Genomic DNA, 23,683 nt, shown 5'->3' with positions numbered 1-23,683 from the left:
ATTACAGGTGTGAGCCACCGTGCCCAGTGTTTTCCTCCATTTTTCCTTTTTATGTTTAAGATAGAGTCTCGCTCTTGTTGCCCAGGCTGGAGTGCAATGGTGCGATCTTGGCTCACTGCAACCTCCAACTCATGGGTTCAAGTGATTTTCCTGCCTTAGCCTTCCAAGTAGCTGGAATTACAGGTGTGCACCAGCACGCCCGGTGATTTTTGTATTTTTAGTAGGGACGGGGTTTCACCATGTTGGTCAGGCTGGTCTCGAACTCGTGACTTCAAGTAATCCACCTCCCTTGGCCTGCCAGAGTGCTGGGATTACAGGCATTAGCCACCATGCCGGGCTGTTTTCCTCCATTTTGTAGCTGAGGTGTCTTGCCTAGTATCACAGAAGTAGTGGTAGATCTGTTGTTGATGTCTATATGCTATTCAGTCTATAGGTAATTTAGGTTAAACTACTTTGCAAATTTTCTATCCAAGCAGAAAATGGTAAGTTTTTGATCAATATTTTGGCACTACTGCAGAAAGCAGTTAACAATGTTAAATCCTCCCTTCTGAAGGCTGGAAGAAATGAAGATAATGCCCCCAAGTGTTTGACGAAGTCCATAAACCCTTAGTAATAACCAAAAAACTTCCATTTCTCTTATAGGGGATCATCGTCTTGCTCTTCTTTTATCTCAGTTTGTGGGTAGCCAGTCAGTCCGGGAGCTGCTCACCATGCAGTTGGTGGACTGGCATCAGCTCCAAGCAGACTCCTTCATCCAGGATGAGAGACTGCGCATCTTTGCTCTGTTGGCTGGAAAACCGGTATCTTCTACTTTTACCATAATATCTCACATTGGTTTTTTCATAAATTGAAGCTGGTTTGAGGTTGAGGCAAGGAGTGATCTTTGTAAATTGTGCACAGTTACACAAAATGTTTTACACATTGGACAATTTTCAAATTATAAAGGCAGGCATGCACACTTTTAAAAATCTAGTTGTATAGAAATTAAAATGTTAAAATGTATCATATCCCATATCATATAGTGGTAAACAATATAAATAATTTTATCTTCACAGAAATATTCTAGTTTAGTTAATTAATTTTTTTGAGATAGGGTCTGGCTCTGTTGCCTAGGCAGGAGTACAGTGGGGTGATCTTGGCTCACTGCATCCTCCATCTCCTAAGTTCAAGTGATCCTCTCACCTGAGCCTCCCAAGTAGCTGGGACTACAGGCACACGCTACCATACACAGCTAGTTTTTAAGTCTACATCCACATATATGTTGTTCCTATTTACATGTTTGTATATACAAATGAAATAAATTATACATAGGAGTTCTGTGATTTTTTTTATTTATATTTTGTTCATTTAAAAAAGAATTTATAGCAATAGGGTCTCAGTATGTTGCCTAGGCTTGTCTTGAACTCCTGGCCTAAAGGGATCCTGTCACCTATAGGTCTCCCAAAGTGTTGAGATTACAGGCATGAGCCACTGCATCAGCCCTGCAGCATTTTTTTTTTTTTTTCTCTTGAGACAGAGTCTCGCTCTGTTGCCCAGGTTGGAGTGCAGTGGCACGATCTGGGCTTACTGCAAGCTCCGCCTCCCAAGTTCACCTCATTCTTCTGCCTCAGCCTCCTGAGTAGCTGAGACTACAGGCACCTGCCACCACGCTGGGCTAATTTTTTGTATTTTAAGTAGAGACAGGGTTTCACCATGTTAGCCAGGATGGTCTCGGTCTCCTGACCTCATGATCTGCCTGCCTCAGCCTCCTGAAGTGCTGGGATTACAAGCGTGAGCCACCGCGCCCGGCCCCCTGCAGCTTTTTTTTTTTTAAACCTACTGTATGTGAATATTTTTTCATGTCATGAAGCGTTATTTTTGTTGTTGTTGTTGTTTTTTGAGATAGAGTTTCGCTCTTATTGTCCAGGCTGGAGTGAGTGGCACAATCTTGGCTCACTGCAACCTCTGTGTCCCAGGATCAGGCGATTCTCCTGCCTCAGCCTCCCAAGTAGCTGGGATTACAGGCGCCTGCCACCACGCCTGGCTAATTTTTGTATTTTTAGTAGAGACGGGTTTCCCCATGTTGGCCAGGCCAGTCCCAAACTCCCGACCTCAGGTGATCCACCCACCTCGGCCTCCCAAAGTGCTGGTATTACAGGCATGATCCACTGCACCCGGCCTTTTTTTTTTTTTGTATTTTTAATAGAAACGGGGTTTCACCATGTTGGCCAGGCTGGTCTGGAACTCCTGACCTCAGGTAATCCGACCACCTCGGCCTCCCAAAGTGCTGGGATTACAGGTGTGAGCCACAGTGCCTGGCTGGCATTATTCTTTTTTATAGCCACTTATGTTCCATTTTATGGCTGTTGGGTTATAATTATTTTAAGCCATTTCTCTTATCACTGCCTACCTCTTATATTATTATCTTAAAGTATTTTCAGAAATAAAAATGTAGCTGGTCAGCACTTATGCTCATTTTAAAGCTTTATACATTGACAACCATAGACAGTGAGAAGATCTCTCTGCTCTCAATGGCTCTCATCTCATTTGAGTACTGATTGATTGATTAAATCCTGGGACCAGGCACAGTGTCTGATTCCTGTAATCACAATGCTTTGGGAGGCTGAGGAGGGAGGATTGCTTGACACCAGGAATTCAAGACCAGCCTGGGCCACACAGTGCAACTCTGTATCAATCGATCAATCAGTTGGTCAATAAAAACAAGTAAATAATATTCCCTCTCACTAGCTGTGAGATTTTATTATATTTGTATATTTTATATCTGAATCATTTAAAATGTTCCTTGAATAAGTGAATATTCACTTCAGTGTTATTGCACACACAGGTAATAACAAGGTAGAATATAGCCATGGTGATGATTTTGTTTCGCACAGGTGTGGCAGCTCTCAGAAAAGAAGCAAATAAACGTGTGCTCCCAGTTGGATTGGAAACGCTCCCTGGCTATCCATCTTTGGTATTTGCTTCCACCAACAGCCTCCATTTCTAGGGCGCTCAGCATGTATGAAGAAGCATTTCAGGTATATGTGGCCAATAGAGCCAAGCAAAAATCTTGCTGGGTGTTAAAGTATTGTCAAATTGAAGCGGAGCCAGGAAATCTGATGGGAAACTATCCTTTACTCCTTCCTCTGGACAAGGCTACTTCCCCAAGTGTCTGTTTTTATTTTATTAAATATCATGAGATTCCACAGTTGACTTTCTCACTGCTGTTTTCCTGCCTCTAAATCAGAGGGTTCTTCTTCATTTCTAATGCTGTCTTACTTCTTTGGGAATTCCCTGTTATACAGCCTGACCTCAGATTTGGTTTATCTTCAAACTTAGTTCTGAAATTTGCCTCTAAATATAATATTTTATATTCCTTGTCAGTTTTGAGGTTAATGTATTGTTACTTTTATGCCATCAGTTCTTGAATTATCTTACTGTTCATATTTTATACTTGTCTTTCATATTGTTCTCTCAGAATTATTTGTCAGGAGTAAGAGAACACTTGAAACTTGAGTATATTAAGAATTGTGGCAAGATAAGTATGGGGGGTTAGTGATAGCTACCTGAAATCTTTACCAGTCCATTGAAGACAGATGAAATACATCATTGACCAAAAAATGTTTAAAATCCCTGATAGATCCTTTGGGTTGTCTGTTTACTTTTTTTTTTTTTGAGATGGAGTCTCGCTGTGTAGCCCAGGCTGGAGTGCAGTAGCGCGATCTCGGCTCACTGCAACCTCTGCCTCCCGGGTAGCTGGGACTACAGGCATGTGCCACTACGCCTGGCTAATTTTTTGTATTTTTAGTAGAGACGCGGTTTCACCATGTTAGCCAGGATGGTCTCGATCTCCTGACCTCATGATCTGCCTGCCTCGGCCTCCCTAAGTGCTAGGATTACAGGCATGAGCCACCGTGCCCAGGTGTTTTTTTTTGTTTTTTTTTTTTCAATCGAGATCAGGTCTCAGTCTGTCACCCAAAACTTGAGTGGCATGCAGTGGGGCAATTATAGCTCACTGCAGCCTTGACCTCCTGGGCCCCAGCCTCCTGAGTAGCTGGGACCACAGGTGCATACCACCATGCCTGGCTAATTTAAAAAAAAAATTTTTTTTTCTTATCTTTTTATGTCAGACGGGTAATATGCCAATATCTTCACAAGGTTCGAGGGTGGCACATCTCACACGCATGCATGAACACCCAATCATCATGCTCATGAACTACAAACTATATAATTTTATTTTTTTATTTGTAGAGATGGGATCTTGCTTTGTTGCCCTGGCAGGTCTTGAACTACTTGGCTCAAGCAGTCCTCCTCCCACTTTCAAAGTGCTGGGATTATAGGCTCAAGCCACTGCACATGGCTGTCTATTCATTCTTAATACAGGTGTCTTAAGAATTTGAAACATAATGGCATCTAGGCCGGGTGCGGTCATTCACACCTCTAATCCCAGCACTTTGGGAGGCTAAGGCAGGCGTATCACCTGATGTCAGGAGTTCAAGACCAGCCTGGCCAACATGGCAAAACACTGTCACTACTAAAAATACAAAAATTAGCCGGGTGTGGTGGTGTGCAGCTGTAATCCCAGCTACTTGGGAGGCTGAGGCAGGAGAATTGTTTGAATCTGGGAAGCGGAGGTTGCAGTGAGCCGAGATTGTCCCACTGCACTCCAGCCTGGGTGACAGAGTGAGACTGCCTCTCAAAAAAAAAAAGAAGAAACATAATGGCATCTAGTAAAACTGATTAGGAGCTAATGTATTGTTTTATCAAATTATTCCTTCAGAATACCTCTGACAGTGACAGATATGCCTGCTCCCCACTTCCTTCGTATCTGGAGGGTTCTGGCTGTGTGATAGCGGAGGAGCAAAACTCACAGACACCACTTCGAGATGTCTGCTTTCACCTTCTAAAACTCTACAGTGACAGGTAAATGAGAGCCAGGCTTTATTGTCACTTGAGTGCTCCATGAGCCCCAGGGGAGTCCTTTGCTGCGTCCTTTCCCTTTTATATGTCCCCAGATTGCTGTAAGTCCATATAAACTACCAAATATAACTTAAAGTAGTTGAATGGAAAGAGCATTAGAACTAGAATTAGAAGTCTAAAAATTATTTTAATCAACTTTAATGAGTATAGTTTACATATAATAAAGTATGCAGTGTGATAAGTTTTATAGTAACTATCGCATTGTAACTACCATTACAGCTAAGCTGATATTTCCACTACCATTGAAAAATGCCTGTGTGCCCCTTTGCAATCAGTCAGATACCTATTGACTAGTTTTTTGTTACTATAAGTTAGTTTTGCTGGTCTAGAATTTTATGTGGAGATCATACTGTATGTTCCTTGTGCCTAGCTTTTTTGATTCTGCATAATAATTGTGAGATTTTTTTTCATGTTTATATGTATCAAAAGTTAGTTTTGGGTTTTTTTTAGCGGGGGTACATGGTTTATGTATCTATTCATTTGTTGATGGACAGTTAGGTTTTCTTATTTTTGGCCATTATTGATAAATCTGCTATGAACATATCCAGAAGTGATTATATCATTTTTATATTCCCACCAATAATGTGTAATATCTCTAGTTGCTCCAAATCCTCTTTAAAATTTGGTATTATTAGTTGTTTAAATTTTACCATTTTATTGGGCATGTAGTATCTTGGTTTGTGTGTGTATATGTGAATCTGTGTGTACATGTTTATTAAAAAATGCAGGCGGCCGGGTGCGGTGGCTCACGCCTGTAATCCCAGCATTTTTGGAGGCCAAGGTGTGCGGATCACGAGGTCAGGAGATCGAGACCATCCTGGCTAACACAGTGAAACCCTGTCTCTACTAAAAATACAAAAAAATTATCTGGACGTGGTGGCGGGCGCCCGTAGTCCCAGCTACTCAGGAGGCTGAGGCAGGGGAATGGCGTGAACCCGGGAGGCAGAGCTTGCAGTGAGCAGAGATCATGCCACTGCACTCCAGCCTGGGCGACACAGCAAGACTCTGTCTCAAAAATAAAAAAAAAAAATGCAGACAGCCAGGCGCGGTGGCTCACACCTGTAATCCCAGCACTTTGGGAGGCTGAGGTGGGTGGATCACTTGATGTCAGGGAGTTTGAGACCAGCCTGGCCAACATGGTGAAACCCCATCTCTACTAAAAATACGAAAATTAGCTGGGTGTTGTGGTAGGCACCTGTAATCTCAGTTACCTAGGAAACTGAGGCAGGAGAATCACTTGAACCTGGGAGTTGGAGGTTGCAGTGAGCCAAGATTGTGCCACTGCAGTCCAGCCTGGGTGATGAAACAAGACTCTTTGTCTCAAAAAAAAAAAAAAAAAAAAAAAAAAATGCAGGCCAGCCATGGTGGCTCACACCTGTAATCCCAACACTTTGGAAGGCCAAGGCCAGCAGATCACTTGAGCCCAGGAGTTCGAGGCCAGCCTGGGCAATATGGCAAAACCCTGTTTCTACTAAAAGTAAAAAAAAATTAGCCATGTGTGGTAGTGTGTAGTCCCAGCTACTCAGGAGGCTGAGGGTGGAGGATCACCTGAGCCTGGGAAGTCGAGCCTGCAGTGAGACATGATTGCATCACTGTACTCCAGCCTGGGCAATAGGAGTGAGAGAGACCCTGTCTCCAAAAAAGAAAGAAATGCAGAGTGGTTTAGGTGTCCAACAATAATATATTAACACATGCTATTATTTCTAACCATGTAATTAGAACTATCTCAGTGTTGGTGTTTTGTTTTTTGGTTTTTTTTTTGAGACAGACTCTCTTGCTCAGTTGCCCAGGCTGGAGTGCAGTGGTGCAATCTCAGCTCACTGCAAGCTCTGCCTTCCAGGTTCACGCCATTCTCCTGCCTCAGCCTCCCAAGTAGCTGGGACTAGAGGCACCCACCACCACGCCCAGCTAATTTTTTTGTATTTTTAGTAGAGACAGGGTTTCACCGTGTTAGCCAAGATGGTCTCGATCTCCTGACCTCGTGATCTGCCCACCTCAGCCTCCCAAAGTGCTGGGATTACAGGCGCGAGCCACTGCACCTAGCCTTGTTTTGTTTTTAGACAGGGTTTTGCTCTGTCACCCGGGCTGGTGTGCAGTGGAATGATCATGGCTCATTGCAGTCTCAACCACCCGGGTTCAGGCGATCCTTTCACCTCAGCCTCCTGAGTAGCTGAGCGCTGCAGGAGTGCACCACCATACTCAGCTAATTCTTGTATTTTTTGTAGACAAGATTTTGCCACATTGCCCAGGCTGTTCTCAAGCTCCTGAGCTCAAGTGATCCACTTGCGCTGGCCTCCTAAAGTACTGGGATTACAGGTGTCAGCCACTGCACGCAGCAGAGAAGTCTTCTTACATTACCTTAGAAATACTTACAGTTTTTGTTTTTTTTTTCTCTAGTCACACAAATAGCTCATCTCATTTCAAATCTTCAAGGTGATTTCTTATAAATATATATATATATATATATATGTATATTTAAATACATATATATATTTTCGAGACAGTCTCTCTCTGTCGCCCAGTCTAGAGTGCAGTGGCGTGATCTTGCCTCACTGCAACCTCTGCCTTCCAGGTTCAAGCGATTCTCCTGCCTCAGCCTCCTGAGTAGCTGGGGTTACAGGCATGCGCCACAAAGCCCAGCTAATTTTTGTATTTTTAGTAGAAATGGGGTTTTGCCACGTTGGCCAGGCTGGTCTCGAACTCCTGACCTCAAGTAATCCTCCTGCCTCGGCCTCCCAAAGTGCTGGGATTATAGGTGTGAGCCACTGTGCCTGGCCAGTATTTAACTATATTAATTATATAGAATGTAGCTTTTTATTGTAGTAAAATGTAACTAAAATTTACTGGTTTTTATTTATTTATTTTATTATTATTATTATTTTTTGAGATGGAGTCTCGCTCTGTCGCCCAGGCTGGAGTGCAGTGGCGCGAACTAGGCTCACTGCAAGCTCTGCCTCCTGGGTTCACACCATTCTCCTGCCTCAGCTTCCCGAGTAGCTGGGACTACAGGCACCCACCACCACGCCCGGCTAATTTTTAGTAGAGACGGGGTTTCACCATGGTTTCACCATGTTAGCCAGGATGGTCTGGATCTCCTGACCTCGTGATCCGCTCACCTCAGCCTCCCAGAGTGCTGGGATTACAGGCGTGAGCCACCGTGCCCGGCCAAATTTACTGTTTTAACCATTTTAAGCATACTGTTCAGTGGCATTAAGTCCATTCACATTGCTATACAATCATCACCACCCTCTCCAGAACTTTTTCATCTTCCCATACTGGAAATTCTCATTGTTTCATTTGCATTTCCCTAATGTCTAATGATGTTGAGCACTTTGTCATGTGCTTATTTACCATCTGTACATCTTTGCTAAAATGTCTATTACAGGCATGAGTCACTGCACCCAGCCTTGTTTTGTTAGCCAAGATAGTCTCGATCTCCTGACCTCGTGATCCACCCGCCTTGGCTTCCCAAAGTGCTGGGATTACAGGCGTGAGCCACCGCACCCGGCCTAAAGTCACAAAATTTATTAGCATCAAGTTATTAATAACATTTCCTTATTAACCATTTTAAATATCTGTAGGATCTTTAACAACGTCTCTTTCTTTTTGATACTGGTCATTTGTGTTCAATAATTGCGTCCTCTTTTTTTCTTGGTTGGTGTACCTAGAGTTTAGCAATCATATTGACCTTTTCAAAGAACCACCTTCTGGCCTCATTAGTTGTGTCTATTGTTTATCCAGCTCATAATGGATTACAAACCTAAATTTCAACTTAACTATAAACCTTCTAGAAGAAAACAAAGCAGAAAATTTTTGCAACTGTAGGTTAGGCAGAAGATTTCTTAGGTGGACACTAAATAACACAATTCATAAGAGAAAAAAATTGGTAAATTGGACTTCAACAAAATTTCAAAACTACTGCTCATAGAAAGACTGTTAAGAGAATGAAAAGGTAAACCATAGATTGGGAGAAAATACTTGCAATTCGTAGATCTGATAGAGAACTTGTATCCAGGAATACATCAAGAACTCTGAAAATTCAGTAATAAGAAAACAGGCCAGGTATGGTGCGTCATGCCTATAATCCCAGCAGTTTGTGACGCTGAAGTGGGACGATCACTTGAACCCAGGAGCTCAAGACCAACCTGGGCAATATAATGAGACCCCATCTCTACAAAAATAAATTTCTTAAATTGGGTGGGCATGGTGGCATGCATCTGTAGTCCCAGCTACTTAGGAGGCTGAAGTGAGAGGATCGCATGAGCCCAGGAGGTTGAGGTTACAATTGAGTCATCATTATTATTATTATTTTGAGTTGGAGTCTCACCCTGTCAGAGTGCAGTGGTATGATCTCACCTCACCACAACCTCCGCCTCCTGGGTTCCAGCAGTTCTTGTGCCACAGCCTCCTGAGTAGCCGGGAATACAGGCATGCACTACCACACCTGGCTAATTTTTGTATTTTTAGTAGAGGCAAGAGTTTCACCATCTTGGCCAGGCTGGTCTCAAACTCTCCTGACCTCAAGTGATCCGCCCACCTCAGCCTTCCAATGTGTTGGGATTACAGGCGTGAGCCACCGCGCCTTGCTCTATTTATTTTCTTGATCGTGATGGTGGTTTTACAGGTGTCTACATATGTTAAAGCTCATTAAAATTGTGTACTCTAGATACGTGCAGTTTTAAATATGTCAGAGAAAGAAAGAAAAGGATACTTCAAAATACCAGAAATGGGCAACAGAGCGAGACTCTGTCTCAAAAAAAAGAAAAAAGTAATGACATTATAATGAAGGAATGGAAGGGTGAGAACTGTGAAGACTCCCTGTATCAGGATGGTAAAATACATACGCCAAACCATTACCAGCAAACCTGTTAGATCACACAACCTTAGAAGAGAAGGTGCCTTGTTTCTTTGTAGGATCTAAAGTCTGGCTGAACCCAGAGATAGATTGATAAAACATAGGCTCAGAGGGAGAGAAGGCCTATAATGCTTTCACTCTCAGGTTCTTTTATTGTCTTAGACATAAGCAGAACAGTTGACATATCAGTCCAGGCCGTCTCCTGGCTGTGTATGTTGACTCTCAACACGTTCTTTGCAGACATTATGATCTCAACCAGCTGCTGGAGCCTCGAAGCATAACAGCAGATCCTTTGGACTACCGCCTAAGCTGGCACTTGTGGGAAGTGCTGAGGGCTCTTAACTACACCCATCTCTCAGCGCAGTGTGAAGGTGTGCTACAGGCCAGTTACGCTGGCCAGCTTGAAAGTGAGGGGCTCTGGGAGTGGGCCATCTTTGTCCTCCTGCACATTGACAACTCAGGGTGAGTGAGAAGCCGTTGAACCCACTGGGTACATCTAGCACTACAGGGCAATTCCAAAGGAATCAGTCTTTCAGGGTTCAGTTTAGCAAGTAATTGTGTAGAATGTGTGTTAGATCCAGCGTTGTGATAAACCTCAAGATAGTTAAACCCTTAGCCTAGACTGTTTCTGTATTCATGTAAACCAGTTAAAACTGAGACTTCCTTTGATTAAGTGCCAAATTATAATATTTATCACAAAGTCTCTCAGCAGTCTGAGAAAAAAAGATCTCTGTGAACTGCATTGATCAGAGAAATTCTTCATAGAGGTAAGAGTCGAAGAACCTGTAAAATTGGAATAGGAAATAATGAAGTGGAAATGAGAGAATATGCCCAGATGGGACAATAGCATTATGCCTGGGCCAAAAAACTAGTCATTTAATTTCAGATCAGAACTATTCTCCTCATAGTGGGCTCTTTTCTGAATCCCAGATTCAGGTGAATGTGGCATGTTTAGGAATTACACAGAAATAGTGCTGTCTGAGCTGCCTCAGTGACTCCACGGCAGGGAAGTAATGGGTTAGCAAAAAGGTCCCTGCTTTTTCTGTGTCCACTGGCTTGCTTTTTCTCTGGTCATCCCTTGTCACCGACCCATTCCTTAAGCTTGATAGTATTGTATTTATTAACACAGCCTTGTGCTTAGGTATATGTGTCTTGATTCTCTGTCCTTAAAGAGAACTGGAGAAATGCCTTTTCACTGCGGTTTGAACAAGATAAGGCCGGAGATTTTTGTTAATGATAGCAGTATGGTATTTCAGTAATTACACAAAATGAACATTTATGTAGTACTTGAAGTGCTTTTACACATGTTTATATTGTATACCATATATATTAACTGTTTTATGTTCATTATGACCTGTGAGATAGACACTGTTATTATCTCTGTTTTACAGGTCAGTAACCCAAGACACAGAGCTTAACTTTTGTCCAAGGTCACACAGCTAGTAAATGGCAGAGTGAGGTTTCCAACTTTCGTCCAGAGTCTGTGCTCTTATCATTATGCTGCACTGTTGTGTTGCATGGTATGGAAGGAAATAGGGTCTAAATTCTAGATCTACCACGTACTCACTTTGACCTAGGGTAAAGCTTACTTTTGACTTTGGATAAAGATACTCTCTTAACTCTCTAAGCCTAAGCCTTTTTTTTTTTTTTTTTTTTTTTTTTTTTTTTGGCCTGTGAAAGCATAACATTAGTTTCTATTTAAAGGTGATTGTGAAATTAAAAAGAGTAAAAGTATAAAGCATCTAGCATAGTCTTATTAAGACTTAAGCAATTTCTCTTTCTTTAAGCAGTTTCTCTTTCTTCTTCCCCTTTAACAGGGAATGAAATGACCCCAGGCTATTTTTTTAAGTTTATTTAAACACAGTCATAAAGGATTTCACATGGTAAAAGACTGGCTTGATAGGATGGCTAATGTTTCGGAGTTGACTATGGAGAAGCAGATCTTGTTTCCTGAAAAAGAATATAAAAAAGGAGGCAGTTGTGATGACAGTGGAAGTCATTGAAAAGCTTAGGAATTCAGAAAAGAGTCCATAATGAGAATAGTTTTGATCTGAAAGTAAATGACTTGACCTCGTGATCTGTCCGCCTCGGCCTGCCAAAGTGCTGGGATTACAGGCGTGAGCCACTGCGCCGAGCCAAGCCCCAACTTTTTGAACATGAAAATACTTTATTTTATTTTTAAAAATTAATGCTATGTGTTTGTTTTGTTTTGTTTTGTTTTTGAGATGGAGTTTCGGTCTTGTCGCCCAGGCTGGAGTGCAATGGCGTGATCTCGGCTCACTGCAATTTCTGCCTCCCGGGTTCAAGCAATTCTCCTGCCTCAGCTTCTTGAGTAGCTGGGATTACAGACGCCTGCCACCACACCCAGCTAATTTTTTTAATTATTTTTTGCAGAGACGGGGTTTCACCATGTTGGCCAGGCTGGTCTTGAACTCCTGACCTCATGTGATCCACCCACCTTGACCTCCCAAAGTGCTGGGATTACAGGCGTGAGGCACTGTGCCTGGCCAGTGCTGTCATTTTTAAAAATTAATACCGGTGTGAGATCACCTTTGATTTTTTTAGTGAAGCTTAAAGTGATCAAGACCCATAGTTTAGGCCAGGTGTGGTGGCTCACGCCTGTAATCCTGGCACTTTGGGAAGCTGAGGCGGGTGGATCACCTGAGGTTGGGAGTTCCAGACCAGCCCAACCAACATGGAGAAACCCTGCCTCTACTAAAATTACAAAATTAGCGGGGTGTGGTGGCACATGCCTGTAATCCCAGCTACTTGTGAGGCTGAGGCAGGAGAATCACTTGAACCTGGGAGGTGGAATTTGCCGTGAGCCAAGATGACACCATTGCACTCCAGCCTGGGCAACAAGAGTGAAACTCCATCAAAAAAAAAAAAGACCTGCAGTTTAAGAGACTGCCCCAAGGGCCACTCTAAGCTGCCTGGGGCAGCCTTCTCCATGAATGAGGATGGGATTTATTCTAGCTTATCTCTCCCTGTAGCATACGTGAGAAGGCTGTTCGAGAGCTGCTTACCCGGCACTGCCAGCTGTTGGAGACCCCTGAATCTTGGGCTAAAGAGACTTTCCTTACCCAGAAGCTCCGTGTACCTGCCAAATGGATCCACGAGGCCAAAGCTGTGCGAGCACACATGGAATCTGACAAGCACTTAGAGGCCCTTTGCTTATTTAAGGCTGAGCACTGGAACCGCTGCCACAAGCTCATCATCCGACACTTAGCTTCTGGTGAGTGCTGGGTTCCACATCTCCTGGAATCACCCCAAATTCCTCCAACCTCTGAACCTCCATGATGGGGTCAGACTGGAAATAAGACTCAACGTAGGACATGGCCATCTTGAATCAAATCATACTTTGCAAAAGCTCTCTGCAGAAGAGGCTTAGCCAGGATGAGGCGCTAGAGGAGCAGGGGTAGATAGCAATATTGTTATCATTTCCCAGAAATATTCTTGATGTGTGCTAATATTATTATTATTTTAATTTGTTTACTTATGGGAATTTTCTCCAGCAACACCAGAAATAATCTCCTTAAGGCCTGAAACTAGAAATTCTTCACATTTTCCATTGGAGAATTTCAGAATACAGGCATACCTCATTTTGTTGTACTTTGCAGGTACTACATTTTTTACAAATTAAAGGTTTGGAAAACTGCACAGAGCAAGTATATTAGCACCATTTTTCCAACATATGTTTACTTCATGTCTGTCTCTGTTTCACATTTTGGTGGTTCTCACATTATTTCAGACTTTTTCATTACTATATCTGTTATGGTGATCTGTGAGTAGCAATCTTTGATGTTGCTGTTTTGTTTTGGGGTGCCACCAACTGCATCCATATAAGATGGTCAGTTGATAAATGTGCATATTCTGGCTGCTCCATCAACTGGTCATCCCCATCTCTTTCCCTCTCTTTGGGCCTTCCTATTTCCTAAGACCCAATAATCACGAAATTAGGCCAGTTAATAACCCTACAATGGCCTCTAAATATGTTCAAGTGAAAGGAAGGGTAGCACAACTCTAACTTTAAACAAAAGCTTGAAGTGATTAGGTGTACAGAGAGAAGCATGTTGAAAGCCAAGATAGGACAAAAGATAAGCCTCTTTGCCAAACAGCCAAGTTGTGTTAAAGGAAAGTTCTTGAAGGAAATTTAAAGTGCTACTCCAGTGAACATATAAATGATATGAAAGTGAAACAGCTTTCTGGCTGATGCGGAGAAAGTTTTTGTGATCTGGATAGATGAAACCAGCCACAACATTCCCTTAAGCAAAAGCCTAACCTCCCTTCAGTTCTGTGAAGGCTGAGAGAGGTGAGGAAGCTACAGAAGAAACGTTTGAAGCTAGCAGAAGTTGCTTCATGAAGTTTAAGGAAAGAAGCTGTCTTTCCATTCCATTAAAGTGCAAGGTGAAGCAGGAAGTGCTGATGGAGAAGGTACAGCAAGTTACCCAGAAGATCTAGCTAAGATCATTGATGAAGATGGTTACACTAAACAACAGATTTTCAGTGTAGATGAAACTGCCTTCTATTGAAAGAAGATGCCACCAAGGACTTTCATAGCTAGAGAAGAGAAGTCAATGCCTGGCTTCAAAGCTGCAAAGGACAAGTTAACTCTCCCTTTAGGGCTAATTCAGCTGGTGATGGTAAGCAGAAGCTCATTTACCATTCTAAAAATCCTAGGGCCCTTAAGAATTATGCTGAATCTACTCTGCCTGTGCTCTGTAAACGGAAAAACAAAGCCTGGATGACAGCATATCTGTTTATAGCTCAGTTTACTGAATACTTTAAGCCCACTGTTGAAACCTGCTCAGAAAAAAAAAAAATTTCTTTCAAAATATTACTGCTCATTGATGATGCACCTAGTCAGCCAAGAGTTCTGATGAAGACGTATAAGGAGGTTAATGTTTTTATGCCTGCTAACACATCTACTCTGCAACCCATGGGCAAAGGAGTAATTCAGCTTTCAAGCCTTATTATTTAAGAAATACATTTCATAAGACTATAGCTGCCATATAGATAGCGATTCCTCTGATGGATCTGGGAAAGTAAATGAAAACCTTCTGGAAAGGATTCACCATTGTAGATGTATTTGTAGGCCAGGCACGGTGGCTCGTACCTGTAATCCCAGTACTTTGGGAGGCCAAAGCGGCAGATTGCTTGAGCCCCAGGAGTTCGAGACCAGCCTGGGCAACATGGTGAAACCCAATCTCTACAAAAAATACAAAAATTAGCTGAGCATGGTGGTGCGTGCCTATATTCCCAGCTATTTGGGAGGCTGAGATTGGCGGATCACCTGAGCCTAGGGAGGTTGAGGCTGTAGTGAGCCACGACCATGCCAGTGAACTCCTTCCTGGGCAACACCGTGAGACCCTGTCTGGGGCGGATGGTGGGAGAGGAACATTTGTGATTGGCCAGGCATGGTGTTATGTTCCTGTAATTTCAGCTACTCAGGAGGCTGAGGCAGGAGTACTGCATGAGCCCAGGAGGTTGAGGCTGCAGTGAGCCATGATCACACCACTGCACTCCAGCCTGGGTGACAGAGGGAGATCCTGTCTTAAAGAAAAGAAAAACAAAAAAGAACATTTGGGTCCGGGCATGGTGGCTTACACCTGTAATCCCAGCACTTTGGGGGGCCAAGATGAGTGGATCTCTTGAGCTCAGTAGTTCGAGATTAGGTTGGGCAACATGGTGAAACCCCATCTGTACCAAAAGTACAAAAAAATTAGTCGGGCCTGGTGGCACACACCTGTGGTCGCAGCTATTCGGGAGGCTGAGGTTGGAGGGAGGATCACTTGAGCCTGCGAGGCAGAGGTTGCAGTGAGCCAAGATCGTGCCACTGTGCTCCAGCCTGAGTGAGAGAGTGAGACCCCAACAAAAAAATACACAAAAAACATTTGTGATTCATGGAAGGAGGTCAAAATATCAACATTAAATAACAGGAGTATGGAAGGCATTGAATCCAGCCCTCATGGATGAGTTTGAAGGGTTCAAGACTTTAGTGGGGGAAGTACTTGCAGATGTGATGGAAACAGCAAGATAACTAGAATTAGAAATGGAGCCTGAAGATGTGACTGAACTGGTGTCACTCATGAGGAGTTTGCTTTATAGACAAGCAAAGAAAGCAGTTTCTTGAGATGGAATCTACTCCTGGTGAAGATGCTGTGAACATTGTTGAAATGCCAGCAAAGGATATGGAATATTACTTAAGCTTAGTTGATAAAGCAGCAGCTGGGTTTGAGAGAACTGACTTCAGTTATCTTATTTTAAGAAATTAGCATAGCCATCACAACCTTCAGCAGGCAACACCCTGATCAGTCAGCAGCCATCAGCATCAAGGAAAGACCCTCCACCACCAGAAAGATGACTTGCTGAAGGCTCAAGTGATTAACATTTTTAGCAATAAAATATTTTTAAATTAAGGTATGTATATTGGTTTTTTAGACATAATGCTGTTGCACACTTAATAAGTGACAGTGGTATAGTGTAAACATAACTTTTATATCCACTGGAAAACCAAAAAATTTGTGATTTTATTGTGATACCTGCTTTATTGTGGTGGTCTGAAATGAAACCCACAGTATCTTTGAGGTATGCCTGTATGTGCTTTTACTTCTGAAGTCCAGCCAACATTATTTCTCCTTCCTTTCTGTCTTCCTGCCATGTCTTCTGTACTTTTGGAAACTATGCACTTGTGCAGACATTGTGCTCAATACTTTGTTTCTTCAGATGCCATCATTAATGAGAACTATGACTACCTGAAGGGGTTCTTGGAAGACCTGGCACCTCCAGAGCGCAGCAGCCTAATTCAGGATTGGGAAACATCTGGGCTTGTTTACCTGGACTATATTAGAGTCATTGAAATGCTCCGCCATATACAGCAGGTACCTGAGATCCTGAAACTGCTGCCTGATTTTCCTTTTCTCAGGCCCTTAAATCTTCAGATACCTCACAAGGCCTTAGTATACACTTGAGAATGCACTGACAGAGATAGCACTGTCAAAGCAGGCATCTTGCTGAGGCTCATTTGATATAACCGTTTCTGACAGCTATATCGAAACTTAAAAATGCTATTTTATGTTGATTACCAACTAGTATGTGCAATAGACATTCCTGAGGCTTGTCCATAGACAGTCTCTTCCCCTTGTTCAGTCCTAGTTTGAGTGAGAAGCCCAAAGATGAGAGATAAAATAAGAATGGAGATTTGGTGAGGGTGAGGATAGCTGTTTTACACATCATTTGGCATGTTTTAAAATTGCAAATATGGGTTTTAAAGTCAATGTCTTCGGTCAGTTTTTTTTTTTTTTTTTTTTTTGGAACAGAGTCTTGCTCTGTCATCCAGGCTGGAGTGCAGTGGTGTGATCGTGGCTCACTGCAACCTCTGCCTCCCAGTCTTAAGTGAGTCTCATGCCCCAGCCTCCCAAGTAGCTGGGAGTATAGGGTGTGTGCCACCACACGCAGCTAACTTTTGTATTTTTAGTAGAGATAGTGTTTCACCACATTGGCCAGGCTGGTCTTGAATTCCTGGCCTCAAGTGATCGGCCCACCTTGGCCTCCCAAATTGCTGGGATTACAGGCATGAGCTTACCGCACGCCTGCACGCAGCCTTAAGGTCAGTCTTTGTAGTCGTAAAATGAGTCTCCACTGCTTGCTTATGGTGCAAAAACCAAACTCATTATAATAAATATAGGATTCAAGTCCTTTTAGAGGCTTTTACCTTTCCTGCCTTACTCCTACCACTCTTATTCCACGTTCCAGCCTTGCTAGCCTGCTGTACTCACACTAAATTACTTCTGGTGTTTCTAACAAACCATATTATGTTCCACACTACCTAGCACACTTAAACTCATCCTTTTAAGATCTAGGTTGCTGTTACCCCTACTTCTCTCTGCTTTTCCCCAGAGATAATTAATTGCACTTTCTTACTACCAAGATACTTAGTACATTATTCTACTAGTGCACCTGTCAGACCATATTGTAGTTACTTATTCATATTTTCAGGTTGCTATAAGCCCCTTTTGGGAAGGTCTTTTACGGTTACAGGCAATAGAGTGTAGAGGTTAACAGCTCAAGTTCTGGAAGCAGACTTATAGATTCAATTTGTGGCTTCCAAATTCACTGGCTATGTAATCTTGAGCAAGTTAACTACCTCTCTCGTCTGAAAGAAAAAGGTGGGTGGGGTAGACAGTAGTACAGATTATAGTTCATATTGACAGATTTTCACAAAGATTAAACAAAATCTACATGAAGTGTTTTACATAGTACCTTTCATGTACTAAATGCCTTTTTTTTTTTTTTTTTAGGCAGAGTTTTACTCTGTCACCCAGGCTGGAGGGCAGTGGCACAATCTCAGCTCACTGCATCTCCCAGCTTCAAACAATTCTCCTGCCTCAGCCTCCCCAGTAGCTGGGATTACAGGCGTGTGCCACCACACCCAGCTTTGTGTGTGTGTGTGTGTATTTTAGTAGAGACGGGGTTTCACCATGTTGGCCAGGCTGGTCTCAAACTCCTGACCTCGGCCTCTACTAAATGCTTAATAATTGTTATCTATTATTATCCTCATCAAAGTTCCAACTCCTAGTACAGTGCCTGGCACATAATAGACATAATTCAATGTTTGCTGTACTTTTAGTATGAATCAAGAACATCATTTCTAAATAATCACTTGAAGAAACCACTTTCTCATTGAATATTGAGTAATTCATTCACACAACCTATTATGGAGAACTCACTGTATGCCAAGCACTGTAGTGGGTTTGGGGAATATAAAGGTAAACAGTATGTGTTCTGCCCTTACCAAAATAATGATTTTGTGGGGGAGATACATACAAGTAAAGCAGCAATTACTATAGCTTGATAAGTATAGGGATTAAGCAAAGGGTACTATCAATGTGCCAGCACATAGCTGGATGTGGTGGTGCATGACTGTAATCCTAGTACTTTGGGAGGCTGAGGCAGGAGGATTGCTTGAGACCAGCCTGAGCAACATAACGAGACCCCCCTTCTCCCAAAAAAAAAAAAAAAAAACCTATGTTACATAAAAACTCTCTAGTATTATCTTGTTCTGCTTCTTCTCCTTACCCTACATGTCACCATGTAAATCTCCTTTGAATTCCCACCTTTGGGGGTTTTAGCTGTCTTCTCTTTGCCTGGAAAGCTGAGCTCTCTCCTTGTTATTCAGGTCTCAATTTAAATATGACCTCCTTAAAGAAGCCTCTCTTGGTCCTCCAGTCTCAAGTAGCTATCCAGTTTCTCTCTGCCACATCCACCTGTTTAAATTATCTACATGGCTTGTGATTTTTCAGGATTTATTACTGTTTTGTGTTTTCTTATTTATTTTCTATCAGTTTCATGAGAGCAAATAACCTGTCTTGCTCTTGATCCTCCTGCCCCCTGCACACAGCTTTTTTGGTGTTTTAGAAAAGGCTATAAACTTGGAGTCAGGGGACCTAAATTAAATGTTGGTTCTGGCTGCATTTTTTACTTCCTTGTGTGCTCTTTAGAAGTCATACCATCTCTCTGAACCCAATTTATCTTGATTTTTGGTGCTGTGTTATTAAAGCTTGCTGTATAGTTCGGGATCTCAAGACTTTTCCTAGTCCAAGGCTAGGTAACTGTGTTACCTTCCTCTTGGCTATTACTGCATAATTAGTGCCTTGTCCTCCACTAGATGGTGGTGGCTTGGCCCTGTGTCATCATCTTGGATTTTCCCCTCCCTCACCTCACTGTTGTTTCAAGGTTTTGTGTAGAGTCTATAGGTGGGATTGGAGTGATAGGAACTCCCCTTGGATTAATTGGCTTCTCTGCTTCTTTGTAGGTGGATTGCTCAGGTAATGACCTGGAGCAGTTACACATCAAAGTGACTTCACTGTGCAGTCGGATAGAGCAGATTCAGTGTTACAGTGCTAAAGATCGCCTGGCTCAGTCAGGTAAGCCTCTAACCTCCTCACTCTTTCTGCCTTCTTGCTTCCTGTTTTTATGATTATTACACCCCACCCTCAGTGCCTACCACCCTTCTCCAGACCCCATGCTCAGTGCTTGACTCTAGTTTTTCTCTCTAGACATGGCCAAACGTGTAGCCAACCTGCTGCGCGTGGTGCTGAGTCTGCATCATCCTCCTGATAGAACCTCCGACTCAACACCAGACCCTCAGCGAGTCCCTTTGCGCCTCTTGGCTCCCCACATTGGCCGGCTTCCCATGCCTGAGGACTATGCCATGGACGAACTGCGCAGCCTTACCCAGTCCTATCTGCGAGAACTGGCTGTTGGGAGCCTGTGAGCCCCAGGCACTTTGCATCACAGTCACATGCCCATTCACACCACACAGAGGTTCCCTGCCTTGTTTGGATTGGCACTGTTTGCCATTCTCTGGGTTGGCTGTGGCATCTACCCTCCCTCCCTGCTGCCAGAAGCAGCATCCTCCACTTGTTCAGGGCTTTTCTTAATACTGAACGTAGCATAAGGGCTTCTGGAACCCAGAAGAGGAGACAGTTTACCATCCTCAAGATCATTCAGTGTTTTTCCTTTAAAAAAATGGTCAATAAAGCTCCTTTGGCAGAATCCCCCAAAGAACCAGGGTATTCTTTTTCCATCCCTAGCCATTCTGGATCTTGTGACCCTCCATGCCAACCAGCTTCCCTACTCCTACCCTGGCCCTTTTATACTAGGACTCCTTAGGAGGAGTGAGACAGGTGATAATGGATCCTTAACAGATGAACTATCCACAGAAGGAAGAGGGATCCGTCTCTTAAGTAATTGGTTAGTTAACACTGAATTTTGGAGGCAAAGGAGGGTTGGCCTGAGTTAGGAAACAAAATGGGATCTTTCTGACACACTTAGGGCAGAAGTGAATGCCTGTCACGGAGGGATTGATCTTCAGGGCTGTTTTTGTTCCTGCCTTTAGAGTTCCATGAACACCATACCTTTGCTACTACTATGTGCAGGAACCCTTGGTCACATGTGACATGTCTGTGGGAAGCTCCCAGAGTTTGGTTTGGTCCCTGGTTTTCAGTCTTGCTGAGACTCTGTCTGGATTTGCCTGCAGAGTTTGGATAAAAAATGGCAGGTTGGGTAACCCTCCCTGTTCATCCCATGTTAGCTCCAAAGCATTTCCCACCCTCCATCTACCCCTTCCAGAAGCAAAAACAAACCATGACTGAGGCAGGCATGGAGTTGGGCGTTAGGGGCAGGCAGAGGGCCTTTGCTACACTGCTGACAGCTATAGGGAGCCCCAGGTAATGGCATGAGATAGCTGGTGTTAGGGCTATCTCAGGCAATATGGCCACACCTGGGTCTTTATGCATGAAGATAATGTAAAGGTTTTTATTAAAAAATATATATATGTATAAATAAATGATCTAGATATTTTCCTCTTTTTCTGAAGCTACTTTCTTAAAAAATAAATAAAATGTTTATAGCATTCCTGGTATTGGCTTTCCCTTTGTATTTTTGAGCCTTCTTACCCTGAGGATCTTTATGGTGGCCTTGTTTGATTTAGCCTGTTTTTGAATTTGCCTTCTAAATGGAGACAGGCCATGGGCTAAAGAGAACAATTGGGTGCTAAACTGAAAGATAGATTAGCCCAAAGGCTAGATTTATAAGGGGAAATTTAGGGGCAAGGGAGTTGATTATTGATTAATACTGATTGCTGTACATATATTTATGCACATAGATTCCCGGGTCTCAAATTGCCCAATAGAATATACCATTCAAAGCCTCCTCGCTCTTCTACTATAGTGGTTTTGTTTTTAAACCCTGAGTGACGCTTCACCTTTCTAAATCAGATTCCCTTTTGTAAAGGGGATAATGATTGCTGATGTTACTTCACACAGGGCTATTTTCAAGAGGAATCAATTGAGTAGCATGAGTACTATTCCAGATCTTATTTTGATCTGTCAAGCTGAAGATGTGAGCAAATTCCAATTAAGATTAGACCAAAGACTTCTGAGACTTTCAGGAATTCAGGGATGAGAAAGCAGAGTGGGTCAGCTCTGTTGTCTGGAACTTCCATTTAACTTAGATGCCTCAGGATAGGGGTTACTCAGCTGGAATCCCCTCCACTACTGACTCACTATGTGAACCTGAGTGAGTCACAAAACATAGTTGGACTTCCAGCAAAGAACACCTGACCTGGTTTCCTTACCAGAGGAATGTTTCAGAAAGTGAGTATGCTATAGAAATGGTTAGCTCTTAGCAGTGTTCGGAATTGTGGGCCAGGAGTGGTGGCTCACACCTGTAATCCCAGCACTTTGGGAGACCAAGGTGGGAGGATCGTTTGAGGCCAGGAGTTCAAGACCACCCCAGGCTACATGACAAGACTCTGTCTCTAAAAAAAAATAAAATTAGTTGGGCATGGTGGTGTGTGTGCATAGTCCCAGCTACTCAAGAGGCCTAAGCAAGAGGATCGCTTGAGCCTAGGAGCTGAAGGCTGCAGCGAGCCATGATTGTGCCACTGCACTCCAGCCTGGGCAACAGAGCAAGAAAAAAAAGGTTCTCAATCAAAGGTTTATCATAGAAGCCATGTTGTGCATAAAAGAGAATATCAACTTCCAGTTCAAGATAAGGGTGATGAACAATCTCTTCTTTTTTTTTTTTTTTTTTGAGACAGAGTCTCGCTCTGTCCCCCAGGCTGGAGTGCAGTGGGGCACGATCTGCAAGCTCCACCTCCCGGGTTCATGCCATTCTCCTTCCTCAGCCTCCCAAGTAGCTAGGACCACAGGCACCCGCCACCATGCCCGACTAATTTTTTTTTGTATTTTCAGTAGAGACGGGGTTTCACCGTGTTAGCCAGGATGGTCTCGATCTCCTGACCTCGTGATAAGCCTGCCTTGGCCTCCCAAAGTGCTGGGATTACAGACGTGAGCCACCGCGCCAGGCCTGAACAATCTCTTCCACATCCCAAAATCCCGTTGAAATAGTAAAAAATGTTTTAATTTCAAAAAAAATTCTCAAAAACATAAAACAGGAACCAGTTACCTCAACATTCGATAGATCTGTGGAATCTACAACATTCAAATAACTTATTTTCTCAACAGAACCCAAAGTTAACAGAGGTCTGGAGAATTAAATATTGGAATAATTAAGCAAAGGCCTGCAGAGTATCTGCTCTTTTTAGATGTTTCATCTTTAGCTCAGTTTTGTTAATTTGTATTTCCAGAAAATTGTTCCAGATTTTTTGTTATTCAAATAACCAGTCCTTAGACGTATTAATCAATTTTACTGGAGTTCTGTATAATCTTAATTTCTGCTTTAAATGTTCATTTCTTAGGCTTTCCTAAGGATTTGTTAAACCTTGTATTGGTTGGGCACGATGGCTCACGCCTGTAATCCCAGCACCTCGGGAGGCTGAGGAGGGAGAATCCCTTGAGCCCAGGAGTTTAAGACCAGCCTAGGCAACATAGGGAGACCTTGTCTCTTAAAAAATGAACAAAAATTAGCTGGGTGGTGTGCACCTTTAGTTCCAGCTATTCAGGAGGCTGAGGTGGCAGGATGGCTGTAGGGTATTTTGGTAGTTGTTCTTTAACAAGTTAAGGACAGTTCCCCTCTACTAGCTTGAATAAGTGAATGTTGGATTTCAATTTGAAATGATGTGAAACGCTTGTGTGTTAGGAAGGTGGTTGGAGATAAGCAGAGTACCTGGGAGAGGGGACGGGTGGAGAAAGTGCAGGGAATCACTGGCATATCCACGATGCCCAAAGTCATGGCTATGGATGTGATTGCCAGGGAAGTATGTGCTGCTGTTGGTCAGGCAACTGGTCAGCTTGAACAAAAATAATCAAAACTCTGTGCATGATAAATACCTGTGACCTGAGGATAGCCTGGCTACCTTACTGGGACCACAGTGTAAATATTGTTGATGACCTGCTGTACCTT

The 23,683-nt window shown here is 43.0% G+C and overlaps 1 protein-coding gene and 1 non-coding gene across 11 annotated transcripts in view; one reads left to right on the top strand and one right to left on the bottom strand.

Moving 5' to 3' along the window:
* The window catches only part of NUP98 (nucleoporin 98 and 96 precursor), a 122,545-nt gene extending 101,306 nt beyond the window's left edge, over positions 1-21,239 (top strand). For 7 of the 10 annotated variants that reach the window (NR_157590.2, NM_001365128.2, NM_001365127.2 and 4 more), the window contains 8 exons: positions 643-800; positions 2,874-3,017; positions 4,760-4,902; positions 10,055-10,276; positions 12,808-13,049; positions 16,541-16,695; positions 19,629-19,740; positions 19,873-21,230. Coding sequence is in view for 7 of the 10 variants with exons in the window: in NM_001365128.2 (NP_001352057.1) it covers positions 643-800; positions 2,874-3,017; positions 4,760-4,902; positions 10,055-10,276; positions 12,808-13,049; positions 16,541-16,695; positions 19,629-19,740; positions 19,873-20,090 (1,394 nt within the window). In the remaining 3 variants the exon portion in view is untranslated. Of the gene's footprint in view, positions 1-642; positions 801-2,873; positions 3,018-4,759; positions 4,903-10,054; positions 10,277-12,807; positions 13,050-16,540; positions 16,696-19,628; positions 19,741-19,872 lie in introns of all 10 variants that reach the window. The other 3 variants (NR_157591.1, NR_157589.2, NM_139132.4) reach the window with 3 other exon arrangements.
* On the bottom strand, positions 4,104-4,206 carry LOC124902832 (small nucleolar RNA U13). Its single transcript, XR_007063017.1, has one exon. It is a non-coding gene; the product is annotated as a small nucleolar RNA U13 (small nucleolar RNA).
* Positions 21,240-23,683: the final 2,444 nt, after the last annotated feature.

The sequence above is a fragment of the Homo sapiens genome, chromosome 11 (genome assembly GCF_000001405.40).
Source record: "Homo sapiens chromosome 11, GRCh38.p14 Primary Assembly".
Classification (NCBI taxonomy): domain Eukaryota; kingdom Metazoa; phylum Chordata; class Mammalia; order Primates; family Hominidae; genus Homo; species Homo sapiens.
Note: the sequence above shows the minus strand (reverse complement) of the source record. Positions and strands in the feature narration are given on the sequence as shown.